The sequence below is a fragment of the Homo sapiens genome, chromosome 10 (genome assembly GCF_000001405.40).
Source record: "Homo sapiens chromosome 10, GRCh38.p14 Primary Assembly".
In the NCBI taxonomy this organism is placed as follows: domain Eukaryota; kingdom Metazoa; phylum Chordata; class Mammalia; order Primates; family Hominidae; genus Homo; species Homo sapiens.
The window spans coordinates 65742142-65762207 of record NC_000010.11 but is presented as its reverse complement, the minus strand read 5'-3'; the positions used below and the strand labels follow the sequence as shown (position 1 = coordinate 65762207).

The window sequence follows — 20066 nt, the reverse complement described above, 5'->3', positions numbered from 1 at the left end:
TAGCTGGGACTACAGGTGCCCACCACCACCACGCTCGGCTAATTTTTTGTATTTTTAGTAGAGACAGGGTTTCACCGTGTTAGCCGGGATGGTCTCGATCTCCTGACCTCGTGATCCATCTGCCTCGGCCTCCCAAAGTGCTGGGATTACAGGCGTGAGCCACTGCACCTTGCCTGACATTATTTTAGAACATATTCTACTTATTTAAAAAAGCTAACTATAAAACAGCCTCAGGCAGGTCGAGAATAAGACATTGTCATCATAGTGGATAGCTGCATGTGCGTTACTGCCCCTCAAGACCTTCCAGTGGGACAAGATGAGGAGGTGGAAGACAATGATCCTGAGCCCGTGAACGCTTAGGCTATGTGATGGTTAATATTGAGTGTCAACTTGATTGGATTGAAGGATGCAATATTGATCCTGAGTGTGTCTGTGAGGGTGTTGCCAAAGGAGATTAACATTTGGGTCAGTGGGTTGAGGAAGGCAGACCCACCCTTAATCAAGTGGGCACCATCTTATCTAATCAGCCACCAGCGAATATAAAGCAGGCAGAAAAATGCAAAGAGACGAGATGAGCCTAGCCTCCCAGCCTACATCTTGTTCTCATGGTAGTGAATAAATCTCACGAGATCTGATGGTTTTATCAGGGTTTTCCACTTTTGCATCTTCCTCATTTTTCTCTTGCTGCCACCATGTAAGAAGTGCCTTTTACCTCCTGCCATAATTCTGAGGCCTCCCCAGCCATGCAGAACTGTAAATCCAATTAAACCTCTTTTTCTTCCCAGTCTCAGGTATGTCTTTATCAGCAACACAAAAACAGACTAATACAGTAAACTGATACCACTAGAGTGGGGCGTTGCTGAAGATACCTGAAAATATGCAAGCGACTTTGGAACTGGGTAACAGGCAGAAGTTGGAACAGTTTGGAGGGCTCAGAAGAAGACAGGAAAATGTGGGAAAGTTTGGAACCTCCTAGAGACTTGTTGAATGGCTTTGACAAAAATGCCAATAGTGATATGAACAATAAGGTCCAGGCTGAAGTGGTCTCATATGGAGATAAGGAACTTGTTGGGAACTGGAGCAATAGTGACTCTTGTTATGTTTTAGCCAAGAGACTGGTGACATTTTGCCGCTGTCCTAGAGATTTGTGGAACTTTGGACCAAAGAGAGTTGATTTAGGGTATCTGGTGGAAGAAATTTCTAAGCAGCAAAAAACATTCACAAGGTAACTCAGGTACTGTTAAAAGCATTCCATTTTAAAGGGAAACAGAGCATAAAAGTTCAGAAAATTTGCAGCCTGATGATGCAGTAGAAAAGAAAAATCAATTTTTTGAGGAGAAATTCCAGCCAGCTGCAGAAATTTGCATAAGTAGCAAGGAGTCTAATATTGATACTCAAGACCGTGGGGAAAATGTCTCCAGGCCATGTCAGAGACCTTCATGGTAGCCCCTCCTATCACAGGCCCACAGGCCCAGGAGGAAAAGGTGGTTTTGTGGGCCAGGCCCAGGGTCCCCAGGCTATGTGTAGCCTAGGGAGTTTGTGCCCTGTGTCCCGGCCACTCCAGCCGTGGTTGAAAGGGGCCAACATAGAGCTCGGGCTGTGGCTTCAGATGGTGGAAGCCCCAAGTCTTGGCAGCTTCCACGTGATGTTGGGCCTGTGGGTGCACAGGTCAAGAATTGAGGTTTGGGAACCTCCGCCTAGATTTCAGAAGATGTATGGAAACACCTGGATGCCCAGGCAAGTTTGCTACAGGGGCGGGGCCCTCATGGAGATCCTCTGCTAGGGCAGTGTGGAAGGGAAATGTAAGGTTGGGGCCTCCACACAGAGTCCCTACTGGGGCACTGCCTAGTGGAGCTGTGAGAAGAATGCCACCGTCCTGCAGACCCCAGAATAGTAGATCCGCAGACAGCTTGCACCACGCGCCTGGAAAAGCCGCAGACACTCAATGCCAGCTGGTGAAAGCAGCCTGGAGGGAGGCTGTATCCTGCAAAGCCACAGGTGCAGAGATACCCAAGAGCATGGGAACCCACCTCTTGTATTAGTGTGACCTGGATGTGAGACCTGGAGTCAAAGGAGAGCATCACTTTGGAGCTCTGAAATTTGACTTCCTTGCTGGATTTCGAACTTGCATAGGCCCTGTAACCCCTTTGTTTTGGCCAATGTCTCCCATCTGGAATAGCTGTATTTACCCAGTACCTGTACACCCATTGTATCTGGGAAGTAACTAGCTTGCTTTTGATTTTACAGGCTCATAGGCGAAAGAGATTTGCTTTGTCTCAGATGAAACTTTAAACTGTTGACTTTTGGGTTAAAGACGAAAGGAGTTAAGACTTTGGGGGACTGTTGGAAAGGCATGATTGGCTTTGATATGTGAAGACATGAGATTTGGAAGGGCCAGGGGTGGAATGATATGGTTTGGCTCTGTGTCCCACCCAAATCTCATCTTGAATTGTACTTCCATAATTCCCATGCATTGTGGGAGGGACTCAGTGGGAGAACATTTGAATCATGGGGGTGGTTTCCCCCACACTGTTCTCATGGCAGTGAATAAATCTCATGAGTTCTCATGGTTTTATCAGGGGTTTCCGCTTTTGCGTCTTCCTCATTTTTCTCTTGCTGCTGCCATGTAAGAAGTGCCTTTAGGCTCCTGCCATGATTCTGAGGCCTCCCCAGCCATGTGGAACTGTAAGTCCAATTAAACCTGTTCTTCTTCCCAGTCTCAGGTATGTCTTTATCAGCAGTGTGAAAACAGACTATCCAGCTCTCCTGCACACATTAGTATAAAGATACAACACAGAAATCAGGAGCGCCAATTAATGTCAATTATAACGTATCTTCTCTGTCACCCTGGCATCCTTAGGGGAATAGCTACAGAATTTGCTTCTTTTTACATCCTAGAATTGAGGAATTTCATTGTTATTTGAGTTTGAATCCAGTCAGTATATGAACACAAAGGTTAAATGAGGGCTGTACAAATTAAAACTTATAATAGATCATGGTGTTTTCTAAAATTACTTGTACCACTAACTTTTTGATTTATGACAATGAAAAGTATAGGCATGAGATCACATGTATAGGCATCTGTAAAGATTTTGAAATGTGCCAAACCTAGTAGGAAATGTAATTTAATATTCTTAAGCATTGGTACTGAAAAAAAATTTAAATACATTCTGACTGTGTTTACACAGCGTTTCATAGCATATTTTCAATTGAACTGATGCCGCATTTGAAAACAAATGAACACAATCATTTTTCAATGTCAGGATACTATCTTTCAAAATACTTTTTGGTAACTTTTTTTAAATGGAAGAAATAACAATCATTTATTTTGAATTATGATGGATTATTTGTCTACGCCCTATTTGATTTGCTTTTTTAAGACATTGTTTTTCTTTTAATTCTTTTACTTTAGAAGAAATGAGAGATAAATTAGTGAATACTGTGGAAATGTTCACACTTAAAAGTGGAGAAGACTAATTTCTTCAAATCTAACATTTTTTTTAAAGAAGACGCATTTATTTCATCAAACTAAATAGCAGTATGAACACCTTCTGTGTATCCAACACTACACTCTCTTGAAAGCCCTCAAAAACATTCTTTTTATATATGTGCATTCCAGTGACCAAGCTATTAGAATATGATTTTCTTTATGTTTCCATTATATTTGGCACTTTTAATGTTTCTTATTTTCTGAAGTTCTCTTTCCCCAATTTTTTTTTTTTTTTGACACTTCTCTGGATGATTTTCTGTCTGCCTTACATCTATCAGCTGAGATTCAGGGAACTCAGACTACAGCAAGGAGTAAACTGGGAGTCAGTTTCATGACAGCCATGTGCAAATCATAAGAATCCTTCGAAGTTACATAATATGGAGTCAGGACCACAGAGATAACTGTCATTAAAATTACCCATCTCTAACCTTCCTGTCTCACCTAAGGTGGGGAGAAGAGTCAAAAAATGAAAAAGCAAAGAAACGCATGTGAAGTCCCCAGTCCTTGAAAAGAGGTTCAATAAAAGATTGAAATTTATTGATAAAATTATTCAAGATTTTCTCTACACCATTATTTAATTCCTCTGAGAAGTGCTCAGAGTATAGTATGTAGCTATAAATGTATTCATTTTTTAAAAAATGGCAGATAAATAACCTAACTCTATACTTTAAAGAGCTAAAAAAAATGATCAATAAAATTGACAAACATTTAGCTAGACTGGCTACAAATAAGACACTAATAAGTAAAACAAAAATGAAAGAGAAAATATTACTACTGAATTTACAAAAATAAAAAGAATTTTGAGAAAATACAATGAACAATTGTATGGCAACAAATTAGAAAAACTAGACAAAATGGATAAATTCCTGACAACATACAGATTTTCAAAACTATTTCACAAGTAAATTGGAAATTTGAGCAGACTTATAAAGAGTAAAGAGAATAATTCATTAATAAAAAACCTCCCGACAAAGAAATGAGCCAGATTGTTTCACTAGTGAATTATACTAGAGATATTTAAAAGATTTGACAATAATGCTTTTCAAATTCTTCCAACAAATTAAAAAAAAAGTAAAAGCATTTCCTGACTCATTCTATAAGATCAGCATTACTGATAACAAAGTCAGGAAAAGATAGCACAAAAGAAAGAAAACAATAGACCAATATCCTTTATGAAGATAGATGCAGAAATCTTCAACATAACACTAGCAAACTGAATCCATAGCATATTTAGAGAATTGTTCACCACGAAAAAATGAGGTTTATCCAGGAATGCAAGAGTGGTTAAACATGTGAAAATCAATCAATGGTATACATCGTATTAACCGAATGAAAGAAAAAAAAAACTCACATAATTGTCCCAATTGACACAGTAAAAGTATATGATAAAATTCCTTTTATGATTTAAAAAAAAACTGAAAAATGTAGAAAAAGAGACATTTCTGCAAAATGATGAGTATTTATGAATAACTCAAAGCTAACGTTATATTCAACGGTGAAAGACTCCCTATGATCAGGAATAAGAGAAGCATCTCACTTTCTTTACTGTTGCTCAGTGTTGTACTGAAGGTTCTAGCCAGAGAAATTAGGCAAGCAATAAATAAATAAATAAATAAATAAATAAATAAATAAATAAAAAGGATCCATACTGGAAAAGAAGAAGTAAAATTCCTCTTTTTGCAGAAGACATGATCTTACATATAGAAAATCCTAAAGGACCCACACACACAAAAAAAACTATTACAGCTAAGCGAATAATTTAGCAAAGATTTAGAATACTAGATTAACATTCAAAATCTAGTTATATTTCTATACATTTATCAAGAAAGAAAACAGTTCATTTATAATAACACCAGAGTAAAATACTTGGGAATAAATATAATTGTGGTGGTACAAGATATGTAAATTCAAAACTACAAAATATTTTAGAAGAAGTGAAATAAGACCCAAATAAATGGAAAGCTATTATGTGTTCATGGATTGTAAGATGAATATTGTAAAAAAGGCAGTACTACTAAAAGTTATCTACACATTCAATTCACTCTTCTGTCACAATTCCAACAGCTTCTTCCTCCAAATAGCCAAAACAATCTTGAAAAAAGAATGATGTTGGAAGACTCACATTTCCTAATTTCAAAACTTCCTGTAAAGTTACAATAATCACCAGATGTGGTGGCTCGCACCTATAATTCCAGTACTTTGGAAGGCTGAGGCAAGAGGTTTGCTCGAGCCCAGGCATTTGAAACCAGCCTGGGCAACATAGCGAAACCTCACTTCTAAAAATTTTTGAAAAATAAAAACAAAAAAGCTACAATAATCATGTTTGATATTAGCATAAAAATTGCATATATTGATATATATAATTGAGTATGCAGAAACAAACCCATATATCTACAATAATTTCTGTCAAGGTTGCCAAGATCATTCAATGGGGAGATAATTGTCTTTTCAACAAATGGTGTTGGAACAAATAGGTATCAACATGCAAAAGAATGAACTTAGACCCTTACTTCAATTCACACACAAAAAGCAACTCACAATTGATATAAGGGGCAAATATAATAGCTAAAATCCTACAATTTTTAGAAGCAAACACCGTGGTGAATCTTCATAAATAGGACTTGATGACGGTTTCTTATAAATCACATCAAAAACACAAGTAAGGAAAAAAAGAGATATGTTGAGCTTTATGAAAATTATACTTTTTAGTGCATCAAAGAAAACTATAAACAAAGTGAAACAACAGCCTACATAATGGAAGAATGTATTTGCAAATTATATATCTGATAAGGGATTAGAACTCACAATATAAGCAGAACTCTTAAACTCAAGAAGAGCAAAAGCAATCAGAATTTAAAATGAACAAAGAATCCGAATAAACCTTTCTCCAAAGAATATTTAAAAGTTGCAAACAAGTACTTGAAAAGAAGCTCAATATTATTAGTCAGGGAAATACAAGTCAACACCACAATGGGATATCAATTCACACTGGTACAGATGACCATAATAAAAGAAAATAGGCCAGGTGCAGTGGCTCATGCCTGTAATCTCAAAACTTTGGGAGACCAAGGTGAGGGGATCACATGAGGTTGGTATTTTGAAACCAGCCTGGACAACGTAGCGAACACCTAGCTCTACAAAAAATTGAACAGTTAGCTGGGCATGGTGGGGTGCATGCCTGTAGTCTTAGCTACCGGGAAGACTGAAGGTGGAGGACTGCTTGAGCCCAGAAGTTCAAGGCAGCAGTTAGCCATGATTGTGTCACTGCACCCCAGCCTGGAAAAGAGAACGAGACCCTGTCTCTGAAATACATAAGTGAGTAAACAATGATATAACTAAATAATAAACTGAACCAAAATTTTAAAATGTTAACCAAAATTATGGAGATATTGGAAGACTTGTACATTGCTTGTGGGAATGTAAAATGGGACAGCCACTGTGGAAAATAGTTTGGCAGTTTCAAATGCCAAATATAGAATTACTATATAACTGTACAATACAACTCCTGGGTATATAAGCAAAAGAATTAACAAGTACTCAAACAAAAATTTTTACATGTGTTCATGGCTGCACTATTTCCAATAGCCAAAAGTGGAAAGCAACCCAAGTGTTAATCAACAGTAAATGGAAAAATAAAATGGAATTTGGCAATAAAGAGAGAAAAAGTACTCATACATACTACTACATGAATGAAGCTTGAAAGTATGCTACTTGAAAGTAGCCAGACAAAAAAGATCACATATTATATTGTTCCATTTGAAACAATATATTTCATATTGTTCCATATGAAATATCTGGAATAGGTTGATCAATAGAGACTAAAAACAAATCAGTGATTTCCAGGAGCTAGTGGGAGGGAGAAATGGAGAATGACTGGTTAGAGGATATGGAGTTTCCTTTTGTGCTGATGAAAATGTTCTTGAACTTAATAGTGTTCTAAGACAAGAAAAAGAAAATATGTACGCAAATATGAGGACAACTTATCAAAAAATTAGGAATTAATGTAAAACCTTTAAATCTGTCATTCATTGCTAGTAGTATTTTTAATGAGCTTAATCAGCTCACTTAGGTTATTCCCTAATACATTAGGGACTCTGGAAAAGAAATTACATAAAATACTTTCATTTTTGAAGATGTTTCTATATCTTATTCCTCCCCCTCTCCCAATTCTTACTTGCCCTAGCTATGCATCATCCTGAAATATGTTAAAAATCTGATAGTGTTAGTAAGAAATACTCTGGAAAGCTGCATCACTTCATATTCTTACTAATGACTTTCAGGTCAATTTGACTTATTGGACCATTCTAATTAGCATAGCTGTACAATCATGCATTGCTTAATGATGGGGATACTTTCTGAGAAATGCATCCTTAGGCGATTTCATCACTGTGCAAATATCACAGAGTATACTTATGCAAACCTAGATGGCATAACCTACTACACATCTAGGCTATATAATAGAGCCTATCGCTCCTAGGCTTCAAACCTGTAGAACATGTTACTGTACTAAATATGGCAGGCAATCATAACATAATTGTAAGTATGTATGTAAACATATCTAAACACAGAAAAGGGACATAGAAATATGGTATTTGAATCTGATGGGACCACTGTCATACATGCTGTCCATTTTCAATTGAAATGTCAACATGGGACATATGACTGTATTCTCTGGCCATTTGAGTTTTCCAGAACAAAAACTTGCTTGAAGTTCTCCTAGTCACCTGAAATAGTTACTGCACTGTACCTAAGCAAGTAGGTAATTTTGTATGAACCATTTGTTCTAGTTCTACTGTAACAGCAAGTTTCCTTCAAATGAATTAAAATGTGTCTAGGTATCTTCTGGAGATAACAATTTTGTTTTCTACTCATATTATGAGTCTGTCCTTTATATGCATAATGAAATTCAGAAAATGTTTACTTGACAGATCAGTTCCTGGCAGGTTTTATGAATTATAAATATGTGTGAGTTATGATTCATAGAAATGCAAGCCCAGAAACATTCTAGGTAGATCTGAAGCTCTGAGAAATCCTGATGATAAATAATCTAAAGCAGTAAAACCGTAGAAGAGTGTTCTTTAACTGGATTGAAGTGATCCACTTAATAAAATAACTGAGCCATCTCAATAACACAGTGAAACATGGGTAGCATTTGTAAATACCAAATTTTCTGTTATTTGGTTTCAAATTGGAAATACTAAAACTTGGGCAAAACCACAGCTTCTTGTACTGTAAACTCAGCACACAGCTTCTCCTTTCCTCAATTCCCAGCTTTTGGTTTCGTTAAATTCTTGGTGACCTACTTATCACCAGCAAACTGAATCTTTATTTCCTTGCCTATGAAAGAATTCCAGGAGAGAAAGGTAAATAATCTTGCAAAACATTGACAAGGGTTATCATCATGCTTACTGCAACCTTAGACTTTATCGGTTTAACTCCAACAGCTCTTATTTACACCAGGTCTTTTTCTACCTTTAGGTCTGTGTGCAGACATTTTAAGAAAATAAGTCCTTTAGAGGTGTCTAGACTTGAGGCTGATGATCCTTCATAAGACATTTTTAAAACCCGGAGAAAGTCACAAAAGATCCCTGGCTTATTGATTTTAGCCCAAGAAGCTGCTGAGGTTTGGCTTCATCATATAACTTGCCAGTGGCATGATGAAAATTGCGAAAAACATATAAAATAGTTTTAAAATTAGTTAAAAATAAGTTACTGTTGGTTATCTAAAGTAGTTGCACTGTACTTAAGCAGATTCTGATGTATTTTATTTTAATCAGTGTTCTTTCAGGAAAATGCCAAGACTTTAAAATTATATTCTTATTAGAAGCTCTTAAATGTAGGTTTGTTTTTAAATCTGAAAATATTTTGTAGTTGTTAGTATTCTTGAGTGTCTGAACTGTTGTTCTCAACATTTACAGTTATTCTGATCTCCTTGTTCTAAATCCCTTATTAGCAATGTTTGTAGAATAGAAATGAACTAGAATTCATATCACATGCAAGGATCCTCACAAAATAAAGCATGCTGTATTAATGAGTTTATATAAGATTGTCCTTGAAAAGTAGCTTATACAATAGTTTTTATATTTTTCTTGTAGCAAAATAAAGTTTGCTACAAATAAATATTTTGGAAATTACTAGCCAGAGGCAATGCCTGCCATCAAATAGCCCAAATAAGAAGAGTTTCATGCTTGTACATAGGTGTGGGTTTGTATTGTGTATGTGACATGTTGCATTATTGTACAGATGGTATGTCATTATGTATTATTGACTAAAGGAGTCTACATATAGTTTTAAAAGAACTATCTCCTGATAATTCTAGCTGCAATAAAAGAAAGAAAAAAATTGATTTTCAGAAACATATAGTTGAGATATGACTAGCATTTTCTGAGGATGTCATCATATTTTTATTTAAAATGTTGTCAAATAAAGGATTTAAATATTCAATAGACAAAAGTCTACCATTCCACTAAAATTACAATTCTTCTTTTAAATTGTGGTAACAGAATGTTGCCAGATATCTGTGTGGCCAATTCAGTGATTCCTACCAGTGGTTCTCAAACTTTTGCATGTGTCAAAATAACCTGGAGTTTTGTTAAAACATGTATTGCTTGGCCCCACACCCAGAAATTCTGAATTACTAAGTCTGGGGTGAGGCTTGAGAATGTTCTGACAACTTTCTAGATGATCCTGATGCCTGGTTCAGGGAACATACTTTGAAAACCACAGATCAATTCTGAAACAGAAATCATCAATAATCTTGTGCTAAAACAGAAATTCGAGAACAAAGAAAAATTACAATTTTTTTGTAAGGAAAACAGTCAAAAACATATCCAAACACATTCATATGATTGCATAACATACACAATCACAAACACATTTTTTTAATCAGGTAAACTGTTGAGTGTTAGTCAATATATTACAGCTCCTTGTAGAAAGTTAAAAGATATAAAAATAATAAAACACCTGTATCTTCACTATTTTATGTATGAACATATATGTATCTAGCTACCAATCTAGCTAGCTAGCTACCAGTCACCTACAGTCATGCAACACATGAAGGTGTTTCAGTTAACAATGGACAGCGTATATGACAGTGGTTCCATAGGATTATAATATTTTATTTCTACTGTGTGTTTTCCATGTTTAGATATGTTTGGATACTACAAATACTATTTTGTTACAATTGCCTACAGTGTGAAGTAGAGTAACATGCTGTACAGGTTTGCAGCCTAGAAGTAATAGGTTATACCACATAGCCTAGGTGTGTAGGAGGCCATACCATCTAGGCTTGTGTAAGTGCACTCTGTGATGTTTACCCAGTGATGAAATCACCTAAGGACATATTTCTCAGAAAGTAACCTCATTGTTAAGTGACACATGATTCTATTTAGAGTCATTTTTTATTATTCATGGTAGTTAGGAAATATAAAGTTGCTGCAAACACTGAATTTGCAAATACTAAACCATTGTTCCTAAGGGAAACACAGGGTTAGGGCCCTGAGAGCTCTGGTTATATTTTCATATAACCAGATTTTATATTTATTTTCAACTGATTCATAAATGGCCTTATTTTATGTGTGTTTCTATTTGAAGACATCTTTTAAAATACATAATGTTGGCCAGTCACGGTGGCCCACACCTGTAATCCCAGCACTTTGGGAGGCCAAGATGGGTGGATCACAAGGTCAAGAGTTCAAGACCAGCCTGGCCAATAAGGCAAAACCCCAGGTCTACTAAAAATACAAAAATTAGCCAGGTGTGGTGGCAGGTGCCTGTAGTTCCGGGTACTCAGGAGGCTGAGGCATGAGAATCACTTGAACCCGGGAAGCAGAGGTTGCAATGAGCCGAGATCGTGCCACTGCATTCCAGCCTGGATGACAGAGCGAGACTCTGTCTCAAAAAAAAAAAAAAATTATATATATATATATGTATATATATATATATATGTATATATGTATATATATATATATGTATATATATATATATATGTATATATGTATATATATATATATGTATATATATATATGTAGAGAGAGAGAGAGTTCATTAATATTGAACTGATGGCCAACGGCACTATGTGTCACACCTGAATGAATCTTATCTATCTAACAAACATATACTCTCTACTAGGCACATCTCAGCCTTCCACTTCAACACTATGTTTGTGGGTCATTCTAAACAACCAAATCACCAAAGTATAAAAATGTAATAGGTATGGCACTAAGTAGAATTCCAAAAGGACACTTGTTTATAGTGTAAGAACTAAAACAAGAAGGCAGAGCATCTCCTGGTTTGACCTCAGTAGGCAACCTGTACTTTGGGTAATACATTTTTGCCAATCTGCACATGTCCATCAATGACTGTGAAAGTGCAGCAAGTATTAATTTTGTTTTCACAAAAAAATTTTAGTGAGTAGGAAAATCTTCAAAAATGGGCTTGGCAAATAATGAGGATATAGATATTTGGATAGACAGTGAGAGAGATAGAAATATATATATTATATACATTCAGGTATATATATATGAGACATATATGTGTGTGTGTGTGTGTGTGTGTGTGAACTAGGAAATGTATGAACTTGGAAATTTGCGAACAACATACCTGGTTTTATTGTGACCTCATCACTGATGAGTTTTAAAAAATGTCTATTTTGGTAGATTATCCATTTTTTTTCTCATTAAGTCTAAACATCTTTCTCTTATTGCTTTCTACATTCTAGGCATTCATTTTCTTCCCACGAACCTTGTTTTTTCATTTGTTTCTGGTTTTATCATCACATGTGGCCCTTATTTACAAGATACATTCTAATATCTACTCTGATATTATATTAGTAGCATTCATATACCTAGCATTTTTTTCTCATTTTACTACTTATTTTGAATTATGTTTATGGCATTTGTGACATATTATAGATTATAGTTTATACAGTCAAATCTATTGATTCTTTTAAAAACCATTACATCAAGTTTTTTCATTAAAAATCATTTAAATATTTATCAATATTTTCTTTTGGTATGTAAATATATTTTCTATTTACATTTAATTTTTTTATCTGGAATAATTTCATATATGTTATGAGATAAGTCACTGATTTGCATTTTGTTCCTAAATAAAGACCCTCCCCCAGCTGTCTTCTCAATACCAGGTCTTCCTATGCTCTGGAATGTTTCCCTAATTTCAGTTTTCTCTTTCTTCTATCCCCCCCATCTTTTTCCCTCTACATATTAATTTATGCAGCATTTATGCAGACTCAAGTAAAATCCATGTTTTGAAAAAACTTCTGTCTCACATATTTTTAATACATCTTTTACTGCCTTATCTGTTTCTTCTTCTTTAGAAACTCTTTGACATATTTAATGGTTCATTTGTTCATTGTCTTCAGTTTCTCATCTCCACCGTATTCTCAAGACACCTCTTTGGCTTCAAATCTAGTTATTCTACTAAAAGCTTCTATTGAAAAGTAATTGTAAGACAACTTTTACTAGATTTCAGCACCATTTGATTAAAAAAAAATCTTGAGCCATCTTTCTCTGGCTTCTACAATGGCATAATCTCAATGTCTTCCTTCACCTCTCTGACAACTCCTTATCAGTCTGATTTGCTTGTTCTTTCTTTGAGTAATCATCAGATGTTTGAGATTCTATATACTCTAAGTAATTATCTTTTCTCAGTCTTTATATCCCCCAGTGAACCAACTGACTCCAGCAATTTCCACCATCAACCGTATTCTGACAACTTTGAATTTTTAACACCAACTGTAAACAATTTTTGAGTTTCAGATTCACTATTAAATTGCATACTACACACTTCAAACTTAATATATTTGAAATAAATGACACGTTATATTACTCAAATGTTTTTCTATTCCAATATTATCTATCTCATGAGAGCTGCCATCATTTACATAGTTGCTCCATCCAGAAATATGTAAGTCCTTTTCTTTCACCAACTACTTATAGTAGGTCACTGAGTTGTGTCAATTAAAATTCTCAGATATACAATTATTGTCAACTAAAAATACAAATTTTAGGCCAGGTGCAGTGGCTCACGCCTGTAATCCCCGCACTTTGGGAAGCCAAGGCAGGTGAATCACTTGAGGTCAAGAGTTCAAGGCCAGCCTGGCCAATATGGTGAAACCCCGTATCTACTAAAAATACAAAAATTAGCTGGGCATGGTGGAGTGTGCCTGTAATACCAGCTACTCGGGAGGCTGAGGAAGGAGAATCACTTGAACCCGGGAGGCAGAGGTTGCAGTGAGCTGAGATAGTGCCACTGCATTCCAGCCTGGGTCACAGAGCGAGTCACTGCCTCAAAAAAAATTAATTTTTAAAAATTTTAATAATTCTCAAATCAACTTCTTCAATCATCAATGATCTCACACTAGTTTCATTCAGTATAATTACTCATGCAAATCATTATCTTCTTTAATTATGTCCCCTCATTCCAGAAAGAATCATTATTGAACAATGCAATTTAATTATTCTACAGTTTTCTCACTTGAAACATTTTGGTCAGTTCACATTGCTCTTAGGACAAACTTAGTATTTATAGTATGATATAGAGAATTCTGTAATATCTGATATTCTACCAGACTTGTTTCTGTTTTAAATGTCTTGGCTATTTTCAAATGAAATATTCATTCAATAATAATCATAATCGATATTGAACTCAATCTAAATATTGTGCCCTACTGAAACTTGAAAGAAATTTTCCATTAGCAAAGTTTAAACAATTGCAATATAATTGGATAATGTAGTCCAAAAAAATTACTTCCTTCAAAACAGAGTAATAATTTGGCTATAAAAATACTTCTATATTTGTTAAAGTTATGTATAAAAATATACACACTCACACAAATGTGTTCTTAGTATATAGCTGATTTGATAGGCTCAGAATATATGTGTATTAAACACTCTGTAGTGGATTAAAATTTCTGTAATCCTATTAGTTTCCAATTTTTTAGAAATGATCACATTTGTTTTGGAGTAATTAATAACTGCAGTGATTTTTTTAAGTTGAATATCTTATAAAATGTTTCTCTATGGCTATTTCTGAATCTCTCTACTCAACCCTACCAGGCATAAGTTGATATTTTTGGTAATCAGTTGATGATTTTGTATATTTGATATACAATATTCATACATGAAACATTTATACTTTCCTCTTTCCAAAAACGTAGTATTAAATTAAATTGATTTGAATCTGACAGTGGTTTAGGTTTCATGCATGAGCTTGTCAGAGGTCACACATGGAAAAAGATCAGATGTCTTTGAGAGAGCACTCAGGCAAGTATTCTGGACCCATAAATGAGATACTTTTTGAAAATATTTTAGAGATGGATTATCAAAGAATCAAATCCATGAAAGTTTTGAGTTAGTACACTCTAATTTTTGCTGTGCGCTGTCTTATATGTGTTTTTGGTTTCATGCAAGTCAAAAAAATATTGTCTATGGGCCAGGTGCGGTGGCTCATGTCTGTAATCCCAGAATTTTGGGAGGCTGAGGCAGGCAAATCATCTGAGGTTAGGTATTGGAGACTACCCCAGCCAACATGGTGAAACTGTGTCTCCATTAAAAATACAAAAATTAGCCAGGCGTGTCTCCAAAAAAATACAATACTGGCATGCACCTGTAGTTCCAGCTACTTGGGAGGCTGAGGTGGGAGAATCACTTGAGCCCAGGAGGCAGAGGTTGCAATGAGCCAAAATTACTTCACTGTACTCCAGCCTGGGCAACAGAGAGAGATTCTGTCTTAAAATATATATATATGTAGCCCTATGAAGAGTATCGTTTCTCTGTCTTGCTGTTTCAAGAATAACAGAAACAAACTACATCCTCATTTGTTTTTACTTTTTGTATCAGACTTTATGAAAATGTTCATCAACGTATAATTATCTAAATCCTCACCAGTTTTACTTTAAAATTACCTTGCAGGTGATATGAGTCTGACATATGCACTGAAACATCAACAGTAAGTCTGACAATATTGGTAGCTGAGAATGATTACTGGTTTAAATACTTGAGTTTCTAATCATTATGCTTACTTTATCTCAATTAACAACATTGTTGACTATATGCTTAGATGTCATGAAAGTAAAATCAATCTTCCAAACTTAATTATCACCTCCATAATACCTGTGTTAGGTGAATTTGCAATAATGAATACAAGAAAATATTAAAAAGAATAACTAGTCACTGTTAACAATTAAACGATATTGGATTTTTTAAATCTGCAAGATCATGTAACTAGTATTTGATGAATATGGAGTGGTTGTAGATGATCATTAAAAGTTTTACCTGAACATTCTAAATAATAATAATCATATGTCATATGTTATTTGTAATACTTCACAAAAGACAAATATGCAAGTATGGAGAGTAGAAAAAGAACAATTAGTGAATATGAATTTTGGTAACATGTGATTTCAGGATATTTGGGAAAATCATTGCCTGAGTAGAGAAATCACCTTCAAAGCTACATTTTTATATTTGTATACAAATGGAGAATGAGACAGACACAGGAAAATATTAATGTGGTCTGAAAAATGCTCCTTCGAGATTTCTTTTTCTCACACAATTTTGCCAATAGCAATGACACAGTTTATTTCATTCATAGCATTAATATGTATGAAAAATATATTGTGTGTATAAATACAAGAATAAGCAAGATTACTGTGATGGCATTCAAACATAATCCTTAGGCAAACATAAGCCAATTAGTGTAAAGCAAAGCATCTGAAAAGTGGATTCATCAGAACTAGCATGATATTTATGTAATAATTTTCCTTAAGTCTACAATGAAATTTAATTGTTGTTTCACTCAACAATAATACATTCTGACAGAGTTTAGCCTTTTAAAGTCAAAATATGCTTCCTTTGAATAAAATCTTATTTCTAAATTTATTTTTTTACTGTATCTGCTTCTATTAAAATGTCAATTATTAATTAGAAATTATCTTGACTCTCACCAATTATCTTTGAATGACATTAATTATTTCTTAGGTTTCAACTGATTTCTTCCATTCTTTATCTGGTGAGTTAGCTTAATACATTTTATATTTTTTAATAGCATGACTTACTTTATTTTCTTTTTTGAGACAGGGTCTTGCTATGTCAACTATGCAGGAGTGCAGTGGCATGATCCCAGCTCACTGCATCCTTGAACTCCTGGGCTCCTCTGATCCTCCCACCTCATCTTCCCAAGTAAGTTGGACTACAGGTGTGGTGTGCATCACCACACTTGGTTATTTTTTTCATATTTTTTTGTAGAGAGTGTCTCCCTATGTTGCCTAGGCTGTTCTGAAACTCCTGGGCCAAAGTGATCCTCCTGCCTTCGTCTCCCAAAGTTCTGGGATTACAGAAATGAGCCTCTGCACCTGGCCGCATATGATTCTTTTCTATAGCTTTTCCTTAGTAACCCAAGATTTAACCTTATACACTTTTCCCAGTTATCAACATAGAAAGACAATGAAAGCAGTAATAAATGAATGAAAAAAACAAAAAAGAAGAAAAGTAAAAAAAAAAAAAAGTTTCAAAAAGTGGAAACAACACAAGTGAAAATAGGAGAAAAATTTTTAAAAATAATTTTTTCACTATATGTTAATTCCCTATTGCAGCTAATGTCTTATGAGAATAAAGACTGTGTGATGTTTTTATTTGTTTGGGTCATGTATATCATATTGTTGATTTTTACATTTTTCCTGAAAACATGCAATTGAGTTTCTGTGTGTAGAGTTAGCATTACTGTTATTGAAGTTTTCAGAGGGCTTCTCTGACCAATTGTGTGCTGCAGTAACAAGACAGATGAAAGGACTTCTAAGGAAACAAAATTGCTTATGTCCCAGGATTTTATCTTTGGGTTTGCCTTTCCAGGAAATGGATCTGATCTCTCTGGAGTAAGTTTATGCCTGCCATAATTTAAAAGATTCCCAAGAGACCAGCATATAAACTACAGTTTCAATTTGTTGGTTAAAATGAGAAAAACAATACTGCCAAACAGTGTGGAATGTTCATGACAGCAATGTGCTGTCATGCATCCACCGAGGAAACATCCTTTGAGGAAAAAGCATAGGGGGGCTTTCAGACCATGAAATCAGAGACACGAGAGATGAGTAGATTGTATTTCATATTAGAATCATTGATCTGTGTTAGTCAAATGCAATCATCTTTGCCCGGATATATCCTTGCCCATGGAATTGTGATGGTCCTAACACTGTTGATAATATTTTATATGTCTGTGATTAGGAAATAAAAAATGGAACTAAAATGCTCAAAAATGATAACATTCAAGATAGATTTAATCAGAGATAGAGTTCCAAATTCTTTCTCTTTTGAGGGAGGGTAGTTAAGATAGATGTTCAAGTTAAATAAACACAATAATTTTTAATGAGTATGCACTGAAAGAAAACTCATGAATTATATGGTTTCCAAAGTAGTGTTTGGAGAATGTGTATGAGAAGTAAAATAATTCCAAGAAGGCAAGAAAGGAGGACATAACCTGGGGAAAACTCAATCTATAGTAAAGCAATATATGAGATATCAATATATGATATATTCACTTCATTCCAAATATATCAATAATAGCAATAATCTAGATATTCATATGGACCAATTAACTATTTAAAAGACAATGATTTCTAAATTATATTTAAAATATTATATCCAGTTAATGTTGACAAGAAATATATCAAAAGTAGAATATAGAAAATGATATTAGATAGAAATAGAAAATGAATTGGCAAATTCATAATCATATTTAAAAGATTTCAACATTTGCATTATGTTGATCATTGATAGGTAATGTAGACAAAAAATAAGACCATCTACCACTAAAAGAACATAGTTAAGTACATTAAATGCACATATATAAGATTATTTTTCAAACATTTGAGAAGGTAGTTTCTTAAGCACATATGTAATGTTTATGAAAATTTATTTTTTATTAAGATGTAAAACTTAACCCAAAACGCTTCCAAAATGATATCATGCAGAACATATTAAAATGAATTTAGAAGTTGCAGAATATCTATCCACTGGAATATTGATAGCATTGAAAATAAAGTATAACTGTGTAAAATAACATGGATAAATGTCAAGAAACAATTTTGAGTGAAAAAGGCACATGAGAATAATTCATGTAGTATATCATTAATATAAAATTGAAAACATACAAAGTATAACAGTATCCTATTCAAAACACATTTATTTTCAGTAAAACTATTTTGAAAACAGGAGAATGATAAAAACAAAATTTAGAAGTTTGTTATTGAAGGGAAGACAGAAGGTTTCAAAGGCATTTGAGTTTTTAAAGTTATTTGTAGTGTTCTTATTCAACTGAGTCATGATTCACAATGTTAGTTTTACACGTATGTTATCTCTTAGATAGATAAATTGGTGGATGGATATAAAGATAGACAGCTATATTCAAAAGACACATAGAGCTATGAGTTAGTTAACACTCTTATCATTCCTATTCCAATTAAGCCATTTTAATTCAGCACAATTGTGTCAGCTAATTTTACATGTGAAGTGGCCTGTGTCACTGATGCCAAGATATTTGGCTAAACATTTTTTCTTGTTTTGCCTATTATACATTATTTCCGAGTGTGACAGTGCCAAGTGACCTGAAAAGCTGCTAGTTTTGAGTGGAGCCCAGAACAGCAGAAGGCTCTGCAACAGGTCCAGACTGCTGTGCAAGCTGCTCTACCTCTTGGGCCATATGATTCAGCAGATCCAATGGTGCTTGAAGTGTCAGTGGCAGATAGGGATTCTGTTTGGAGCCTTTAGCAGGCCCTCATAGATGAATGGTAGTGCAGGCCATTTGGATTTTGGAACAAAGCTCTTGCCATCCTCTGCAAATAACTACTCCTTTTAAGGAACAACTCTTTACTCAGCCTTCATAGAGAACTGAATGCTTAATCATGGGCAGCCAAGTTACCATTAACCTAAGCTGCCCATGATGAGCTGGGTGTTACCTGGCCCACCAAGCCTTAAAGTTGGACTTTCACAGTAGTGATGCATCATCGAGGAAGTATTATATTATGACTGGGCACAAACAGGCTCTAAAGGCACAAGTAATTTATATAAAAATATAGCCCAGATGCTCATGGTCCTTCCTCCTGCTACACTGCTTCTGCTCTCTCATCTGCACCTATGGCCTTATGGAGAGTATCCTATGATCTGTTAATAGAAAAAGCAAAAACTTACGCCTAGATTACAGATGATTCTGCATGATATGCAGGCAATATCCAAAAGTGGGCAGCTGCAGCACTATAGCCCGTTTTCAGGACATCTCTAAAGAATAATGGTGAAGAAAAATTATCCTGATGGGCAGAATTTCAGGCAGCACACTTGGTTGTTCACTTATCTTGGAAGAAGAAATGCCCAGATATATGATTATATACTAATTCATAAGCTGTGGACAATAGTTTGGCTGGACAGTCAGCAATCTGGAGGAAACACGATTGAAAAATTGGAGGCAAGGAAATTTGGGGAAGAAGTACGTAGATAGAATTATCTGAAGATGCAAAAAAACAAAGAGTGAAGATATTTGTGTGCTTTGTAAATGCTCACTAAAG

At 34.8% G+C, this 20066-nt stretch overlaps 2 long non-coding RNA genes across 2 annotated transcripts in view; one reads left to right on the top strand and one right to left on the bottom strand.

Annotated features, from left to right (window-relative positions):
* Positions 1-16627, top strand: part of LOC105378339 (uncharacterized) — a 145924-nt gene extending 129297 nt beyond the window's left edge. Inside the window, exons 6-7 of the long non-coding RNA XR_001747476.2 lie at positions 15424-15460; positions 16591-16627. This is a non-coding gene — a long non-coding RNA (uncharacterized LOC105378339). The remainder of the gene's footprint in view (positions 1-15423; positions 15461-16590) is intronic.
* Positions 1-20066, bottom strand: part of LINC01515 (long intergenic non-protein coding RNA 1515) — a 195117-nt gene that overhangs the window by 4334 nt on the left and 170717 nt on the right. The gene's annotated exons all lie outside the window — the stretch shown is intronic.